At 41.1% G+C, this 9323-nt stretch overlaps 2 annotated features.

The window, feature by feature from the left end:
- Window positions 5500-5700: a silencer, noted in NCBI's record as "peak4066 fragment used in MPRA reporter construct". NCBI's record gives its function as "represses an SCP1 promoter by STARR-seq MPRAs in K562 erythroleukemia cells {active_cell/tissue: K562}" and the evidence as "EXISTENCE:reporter gene assay evidence [ECO:0000049][PMID:32103011]".
- Window positions 7973-8267: a silencer, noted in NCBI's record as "tiled region #3334; K562 Repressive non-DNase unmatched - State 24:Quies". NCBI's record gives its function as "represses a minimal TATA promoter and a strong SV40 promoter by Sharpr-MPRA in K562 cells {active_cell/tissue: K562}" and the evidence as "EXISTENCE:reporter gene assay evidence [ECO:0000049][PMID:27701403]".

Raw genomic sequence — 9323 nt, 5'->3', positions numbered from 1 at the left:
TTTTCATCAGCAGGGTGTTTCTGGTTTAAATTCAAAGGTTTCATTTAATTACACATCCTCCTCTCCTCCCCGCCACACACCAACTATTCCAGTTAGGAGAGTCCCATCCCCCATATGTGAAAAAAAAGATGTAGAGTTCTGAGTCTGGTTTACTTCATCTGTTGAAAAATAAAGTAAGTTTGGCTGAGCTAAACAAACTTCTTCCTGAATAGAGTAACCCTCCCATGTCTGTTTGCCGAAATGTTTGACAGATGGAAATCTGACGGGGAGCATTTCTTTTAATGACCGTGTGAAAACTTCAGATCTTAGTTTTGTCTTGCCACTAACTAACTGTGACTTCAAGCAAAGCACTTCTTTTCTCTGGCTCTCCAGCTCTTTGTTTATAAAATAGGAGGGACATCTGATCTTAACCTGGGGTTCAGAATTTTCTCAACGCTCTCAAATTGAATGCAATTTTTTTTTTTGTGAGTGTAGCTGTGTCCATTTTTGATTCCCGGGGAAAAGGGATTGTGACTTCCAGTGAATTCACCAAGGATTCTGTGATTGCAGAGAAATGGTTTGTAAAAGCATAACATTTCATGATTTTGACATTTGATGCTAAACTTTCAGCTACGCCTCCTGAGCGGGTCAACTGAGACACCAAGTGAAGAAAGAAGTCATCCTCCTTAGGACAGCAGGCTGTGAGCCAGCATCCCTTCCAACTCCACGGTCAACAGCACATTACAGGGACAGGCAGAGAGAGGCCACAGGTTCAAGCAGGAGACGTGTTAGTTTAGCCGTTTCTTTTGGTTGTTGGTATTAGCTCCTCAGACATGTGTATCAGAGAAAAAAGGCTGTGGTTGGGTTTTGTAGTTTGTAGTTGTAATAAAACTCTGTGTTTGAGTTTAAAAGAATCATGACTTTTGTGATTCCCTATAACAAGTTTTATAGAATTAGGGACTGCCCTAGGACAAGAATATTAGGTCAGTGAAATTTGTCCCTATTCTTTCTCCTCTCATTGCTACACCTTGGCTGAGAGTGGGTACTCCCCCTTACCAAATGCTTTCACGGGACCCAGAGTCTTTCTGGAATGGAGAATACATATCTGACAAGCTCATTATTTTTTCCCAGAGGTGTATGAAATTAATGTATTAGCTCCCAGGTATTTGTCTCAAAAAGAAAACCTACCCTGAGGGAAGAAAGAGAACATTTTAGCAAAAGGGGACTGATTGCTAATGGTGGCATTTTAGGTATCAGTGTGGGGACATATTTTAGGGGGAGAGTTGAGACATATTTAGCATGTTATAGACAGTGAGCCTTGCAAACTATTATGATGAAGTGGTCCCTTTCCCTTCCATGTCATTAAAAACAAACAAACAAACAACAACAACCAAAAAAACTGTACTTTGAGCCCAGTTCAGTGGCTCACATCTGTAATCCCAACACTTTGGGAGGCCAAAGTGGGAGGATCGCTTGAGCCCAGGAGTTCGAACAAGCTTGGGTCACATAGTGAGACTCCACTTCTACAAAAAGTAAAAAAAAAGCCGTATGTGGTGGTGTGTGCCTGTGGTCCCAGCTACTTGGGAGGCTGAGGTGGGAGGATCACTTGAACCTGGGAGGTCAAAACTGCAGTGGGCTATGATTGCTCCAGCCTGGTGACAGAGTGAGACCCTTGTTTCAGAAATAAATAAATAAATAAATAAATAAAACTTTACTTTAAAAATTAATAGAACTTGCATGTTTGCTAAATGAAAAAAGCTCCTTTCTAAGTTTTTGGAGTAATTTTAATTCTGGATAAATTCACCACAGATATACTTTTCCTCTCCTTTGTTTTTGGAGTCCGGGGGTCCCTACTTGACTGGTGCTGTCAAGTCCTGTCTGAGTTCAACACCCTTTTACTCACATCTCTGAAGGCATCTGCTATAGATGACCCACTATTCCACCAGTACATGAAGCTGGCTCTGACTTATCCCAACATGAACCTTGCTTAATTATGTTGGCAGAAAAAGAACTGAAACAGGAAAAGAACTAAAGAATTTCCTTCTGGCTGACAAACAACTCCTTGTTGCTACTAATGGGAAATCTATTTTTACTCTTCCGTACCCCAGCGATGGAGTTGATCTTCGTGACACAAAGAAACTCTCAGCCAAAAATTTTAAAAGTACAGGCTGGGTGTGGTGGCTCATGCCTGTAATCCCAGCACTTTGGGAGGCCGAGGCGGGTGTGTCACTTGAGGTCAGGACTTCCAGACCAGCCTGACCAACATGCTGAAACTCCGTCTGTACTAAAAAAATACAAAATTAGCCGGGCATGGTGGGGGTTGCCTGTAATCCCAGCTGCTTAGGAGGCTGAAGCAGGAGAATCGCTTGAACCCAGGAGGTGGAGGTTGCAGCGAGCCGAGATCGCGCCACTGCACTCCAGCCTGGGCAACAGAGTGAGATTCTGTCTCGGGGGAAAAGAAAAGTACATTACTCGTTGGAGATTATGAGCTCAAAATATCTTCTCTGAGAACCTACACTACAGCATGTCAGGTAGGAAGCCTGCACACCATGTGCTTGTTCCATAAAAATGTTGAGCCCCCAGTGAAACCATAATCAACCATTGGAGGTTTTCACCAATGATGAGCATGCCATTGAAATCTGCCATTTAATTTCTTGTATCAATTATGGAGAGATGAGTTTATATTCTGAAAATGGGCTTTGCCATTGAAATGAGGCAGCCCTAGGCCAACCTGGAAATTCCACTAACTCACGAAGAGGCCATGGGAAAATTGCTTAACTTCTCTATGCCATAGTTTTACCATCTGCAACGTGGGGATGATGATACTCTGCAGAGGTCTGGGAAGTTATGAAAGGTACCCTGCCATAGGCAAAGCATTTTGAAAATGCTTCATCCATAGCTGGCCCTCAGTACATTGTAGAGATTACATAATAATTTTAATTCTAAACAGCTTCACAACTTTTGGACGAAATCTCTTCCTTCATTCCAGTTTGCTCTACCTTTTTGTAACTGTGAAGTTTAAAAGGCCCTAGACAGGAGGAGAAATTCCTTGCTTGTAGTCCTTATCCTATCTTTTTCATAAAAAAGAAAAAAAAAAAAAGATGTTCAAGGAAAGTTCAGGATGAAGCCAAGATGGGATTTTTGTGATCATGGCACTGCTTCTCAGAACCGCACTTATACAGTTTTCTGAGCACCGAACTGACCCTGATGAGGAAACGGGAAGTTAGGAATAAGAAACAAGCCAGCTAGTTCTACCTTTAATTCTAACTACTGCATTGCTTCCTCCAGACAGGAGCTGTAACTAGAAACTCCCATCAATCCAGGCTTGCTAACTTTAAGGTGCATTCACATATGATTCCAGATTCTCTCACTCTCACACTTCTTCCTCATTTAAGTGCTACTGTTTTGTTCTGAACCAGGAGTGTTCTTTCGGAGATGCTGGTCCATTGGAAAATACCTCATACACCATTTTGCCACTGGGGTTGGCCAGGTTTGAGTTCAGTTCTTTTTATATTTCAGATCAAAATGTAAGAAGAAAAATATTTAAGAAGAGCCTGTTGTTTCTCTTTCATTGGTTCAGATGCGTTAAAGCCACTTTCGTAGTTTATTTTGTATCAGCTGGAGTTTTTTACAACTCAGGTGAATTTTAGCTTTATTGAGGGGAATTAATCTAAAACACTCTTTACGCCGGTTTCTATTGACTTGGGTTAATCGTGTGACCGCGGTGGCTGGGTTCCCCTCACCACGGTGTCTTTGAAAAAGGGAGATCGGCAGGGAGGGTGTCCTGAGAAACCCTGCCAATCCAGGCTCTGTTATCCAGATGAAGGGAGCGCCCTGAGCGTGAGAAAGGAGCCTGGAGCCTTGAGCAGGGCTGCACTCTGCCTCTTCCTCCTGTCTTGTTTCTTACCTTCCCCTACTGTCTTTCATTTCTCTCTCCCTCCATTCTTAGGCAGGGCCAACCTTTCACAGCAGTATTTTTAGTTCTCATATGGGAACATCAACTTGTTTCTCTCCGTGCTTCTCTCTCCCTTTACCAAGGATGCGTGATGATTTTCCTACTTGTGTGTTCAAGGGCGTTGGGAACATTGTGCGCTTATATTTAACCCCTTACATTTCCCTGAGGTGCTTTGTTCATTGCACATGAACTTTTAATTCTTTCCAGGCTGTGTGTTTTGTCCAGACTGCAGCTTTCTGGCGCTTGGCCTGCCTCCTTGTTTTAGGGAAGCTTATTGCTTCACAGTGAGACCATCTGACAGTTGTTATCTGCAACCTGAGAGACAGAACTGCCAGCGATGAGTGCCAGAGGCAGTGAGGAGTTGTTCCTCTGCAAGACCTCCCAGTTCCCCAGCCCCCCACTGCCATCTGGGACCACCCGAGGAATGAGACCAGTGTGACACCAAATGTTCACAGGAGGATGGAAAATGTCCCCACCCACCAAGGCCAGCCTCAGTCTGGACTTGAGTCCCTGGCAGTGGGGATTCACTGAGTCCCTGACAGGGGGATTCATTGAATCCCTGACATCAGATTCATCTGCTTGGATGTCTGTCTGCTGTGATATTCCCTCCCTCCCTCCTTCCTTGCTCCCTCCAGCTCTCCTGCCTTCTCTCTCTTCTTTTCAGTCTTCTTTCCCTCTCTCCACCTCTACCTCTTGCAAAAATCTGTGGGCTGGCTGCTGGGTAGCATCTCTCCAGGAGGCAGATATGATTCTGAGTACAACCCAGTGAACCATACTTCAAGATTTCCAATCACACTGAGGATGAAATCCATGCTCTTTATCAGGGCCAACTGGGCCCTGCAGGGTCTGGCCCTGCCTATATCTCTGCGTGCCACACACCATGTTTTCCTTTGCTTACTCTGCTGTCAGTTCATTCCCCGCTCAGAGGCTTCCCATTGGCCGTCCTGCCCCCACCTCTGGGATGCGCTGGCTTTAGAATTTCTCATAGGTGGTTGCTTCCCTTTTATCCTTGTCTCAGCCCAGAAGCTCCCTTCCCAGGGGCCTTCCCTTATCTCCCCTGGCCTCTCTTACTCTCTGTTGCATATCTTGTTTTCGTTTCTTCACAGGACATCTTTATCTGAAATTATCTCTGCATTTATTTGTTTGCCTGTTTATTTGCTGCCTTTACCCCTAAAACTCTGTCTTTTTTTTTCCATGTCATCAACCAGTGCCTGACACATAGTTCGTCCTCAATAAATACCTGTTGAATGAATGGATAAACAAATACATTAGCAAGGGGCATAAGAAATAACAAAAATAACATCACTAGTAATGATAGCAATAAAAATGATTGAGTTTTTTCTTTTTGTTGTTTACTAAGCACTGTCCTCAAAACAATTATGAGAGAGAGGATTATTTTATATTTTGCCAAAACAAAAAATGGAGGCTCCCAAGAGTTGGTATTTTCCTAAGGCCACCCACTTAGTGAGGGATGGAGCTGGGATCTGTCCTGAGACAGGTCTGACTCTAAAGCCAGCAGACTTTCTTCCCTCTTGACCATGACATGTACCACACGTAAACAACTATAATATAAGACAGAAAGAGATAAGCCTCATGAGAGGTGCAGATAAAACATCATGGGAATTCAAAGGAGGAAGAAGTGGTCTCTGGACAAGGGTTCGTGACAAGGTGGTTTTATTTTTCTGAACTATGGTGAGGGGATCTGGACTGTTGGAGGGGGAATGTGAAATCCCAATGCATGTTGATAGAAAACGCCAGAAGGCTCTCATGTTGTATGTGTCTGTGCATTATAGTAGAGGATGGTATAGTAGAGAGAAAGACAAAGTGAGTTTAAATTCTATTCAAAAGTAGTAGTTGTAGTAGGAAGTATTTTCTTATTGTGTACAGTCCTAACTTGGATTCTTATTTAAAGACAAAAGTGCACATCTGTATGTGTTAGAGTAAGAGCTTCTTATGCACATCCACAATCTCATGTTTCTGTTCAAGCAACCTTACTATTAATGTACAGAAATGCATTTTCCCATTGAGTCACATTTTAATTTCAGATATAGTCTAAATGTTCCTAAGCCTGTCTAGCCTGGGGGCTGCCATGGACCACATTACCACTTAAATCCAAGTTTTAGTGATTCAGAGTCCCTACCTATGCAAATCAGTTGGACTTATACCCCCCTTTCTTTTTCTTTTTTTTTTTTTTGGCGGGGGCAGGGGGAGGAGGACACAGAGTTTCTCTCTGTTGCCCAGGCTGGAGTGCAGTGGTGCAATCTCCTAAGATTCCTTGAGGTCAGGAGTTCAAGACCAGCCTGGCCAACATGGTGAAACCTCGTCTCTACTAATAATACAAAAATTAGCTGGGTGTGGAAAGTATCGCCTTTCCTAAGATTTTTATCTTAGGAAAACAAGGAGGGTTTGCCACTGTAAAGTTTATAAATGTAATTTGTTACTTTAATAGACTAAAGAAGAAAAATCAGGTGTTTATCTCAAGAGATGCAAATAAAACTTTTCGTATGTGTTAATACCCATTTACTATGTGATATGGTTTGGCTCTGTGTCCCGACCAAAATCTCATCGAGAATTGTAATCCCCACATGTTGCGGGAGAGACCTGGTGGGAGGTGATTAGATCATGGGGACAGTTTCCTCCATGCTGTTCTCATAATAGTGAGGAAGCTCCCACAAAATCTTGGTGGTTTAAAAGTGGCAGATTCCCCTGTGCACTCTCTCTCCTGCCGCCTTATGAAGAAGGAGCCTGCTTCCCTTTCACCTTCTGCCATGATTGTAAGTTTCTTGTGTCTTCCTTGCCATGTGGAACTGTGAGTCAATTAAACCTCTTTTGTTTATAAATTACCCAGTCTCAGGTATTCTTTATAGCAGTGTGAAAATGGACTAAAACACTCTGAAAAGAGTAGTAGTCCTACAGGATTAGAAAGAGTTTCTTTAAATTGAAGTTCTCACCAATGCCTTAAGGAACAAAACACAAAACAAAACCAAAGGTGTATACAGTGGAAAAAAAGAGTTAAATTGTTATTATTTGTTGATGGTATGATCATAAATCTGAAAAAAATTAAAAATTGGAAAAATTTTTAGAACGAATAAGAGTTTAATAAGACTGCTGGATACAAAATCATTCTCTAAGAATCAATAGCATTTCACAATATCCAACTAGAAAATGTAATTAAAAAAAACACCCCATTCACAATGAGAACAAAAGTATAAAGTTTCTAGGAGCTAGCTTAACCAAGAGTCACAAGATCTGTATGGAGAAAATATTAATAAAAGACATGAAAGATATTAAGAAAAATGGAGAAATACCTATGCTCTTGGTTGTGACAAATTTCCCTATAATTTCAGTGCGAACCTAATCAAAAGTACATTTTTATTTTATTTTATTTTATTTTATTATTTTTTTGAGATAGAGTCTCACTCTGTCACCCAGGCTGGAGTGCAGTGGCATGATCTCGGCTCACTGCAACCTCCACCTCCTGGATTCAAGTGATTCTCCTGCCTCAGCCTCCCAAGTGGCTGGGGCTACAAGCATGCACAACCATGCCCAGCCAAGTTTTGTATTTTTAGTCGAGACGAGGTTTCACCATGTTGGTCAGGCTGGTCTTGAACTCCTGATCTCAAGTAATCTGCCCGCCTCGACCTCCCAAAGTGCTGGGATTACAGGCATGTGCCACTACGCCTCGCCATACATTTATATTTTTAAAAGGAAGCTTAATAAACTTATCCTAAAATGTACATGGAGGAATAAAATTATATAACTTATAAATTATTAAGTCAGTTTAAAAAAGGGGACTAGAAGTAAGACTTGTCCTATAAAGTATTATGACATACTACATAGACAGTAATAAAAAGGAAATATTAATACCAATCATACCAATAGAACAATGACACGAATAAAGAGCTCAAGGCCAAAGCCTTGAATGTATGGTCCTTAATAAATTGTATTTAAAGATGAAGTTCCTGTATTAGTCAGAGTTCTCTAGAGAAACAGAACCAACAGGATGTGTGTTTATATAGAAAGAGATTTATTTGAAGGAATTGGCTCATGAGATTTCGGAGGTTGGTAAATCTAAAATCTGCAGGATGGGACTACAGGCTGAGGACTCACAGAAGAACCACCAATATTGCAGTTCAAGTCCAAAGTTCATCTGTTGCAGAATTCTCTCTTGCTTATGGGAGGTGATCCTTCTGTTCTATGCAGACCATCAACTGATTGGATAAGGCCTAACTACATTATGGAGGGCAACCTGTTCTAATCAAGGCCACCAATTTCAAAGTTAATCTCATCCAAAACACCACCACAGAAGTATCCAGAATAATGTTTGATCATATATTTGGACTCAATGGCCCAGCCAAGTTGACATGTAAAGTTAACCTAACATTATAACTACATATCCAACTAAGGTGGTAGCAAAAAAACTTGGAGAAAAATACAAATGGATCCTTCCCTGATATCTCAAATAAAGGTGGATTCTAAATAGATTTAATTAGAAACTTAAATCTAAGAAAAAACTCTTAAGTTAATAGAAAAAATATAGAAAAATACCTTTGTTACCTAGAGCAGGGAAAGATTTTTAAAATAAAACTTCAAAAACAAGATCATGAATTTAAAAAATCTGAGAAATTTGATTAAGTCAAAATTAAGGATTCCTGTTCAGCAAAGATCATTATGACTAAAGTGATAGAATAATGACAGAATGAGATATCTTTGCAACGTCTAAGGCTAAGGATTAATACCTGGATTAATCAAGAAACCCTTGAAAATAAAAAAGAAAAATACAGCAAGTTCATTAGAAAAGTGGGCAAAGGATATGAAAAGATATAATACCTATGAGGATGCCCCCAAAACTAACCAGTAGCTGAAGAAAATTCAAAATTGAAATAACAGTGGTATATCAGTGTGCCCCTACTGGACTGACAATAATTAGAAAACTAAGTAATCAGTGAACGTTGGGGAATAAAGATCCTTACATGCTGCTGGTGGGAGTGTAGATTGGTCAGCTCTTCCGGAGTACAATCTGGCCCTACTTGGTCAGATTAAATAGACACATAGGCTATAATCTAGCAATTCCACCAAATGAATTCTCACATATGTTCCTTAGGAGTGGTGGACAGGGGTCAGATTAAATAGACACATAGGCTATGATCTAGCAGTTCCACCGGATGAAGTCTCACATGGATTCCTAAGGAGCCATGTGCAGTGGTATTAATTGCATAGCCACTTGTGGTAAGAAGGTCGCCCATCACAGGAAGAATAGTGATGTCAAATCAAGTGGATCCACTCCTTCGAGTTGACTGCACCAATTAGAAGCTATGGATTAGATATTCACAAAGTGACTTGGATGAATCTTAAACCATAGTGCTTGAGGGAAAAGGTAACAAATAGA

Source organism: Homo sapiens, chromosome 2, assembly GCF_000001405.40.
Source record: "Homo sapiens chromosome 2, GRCh38.p14 Primary Assembly".
NCBI classification, from domain to species: Eukaryota; Metazoa; Chordata; class Mammalia; order Primates; family Hominidae; genus Homo; species Homo sapiens.
The sequence above is the reverse complement of the archived record's forward strand: the minus strand, read 5'-3'. Positions and strand labels throughout refer to the sequence as shown.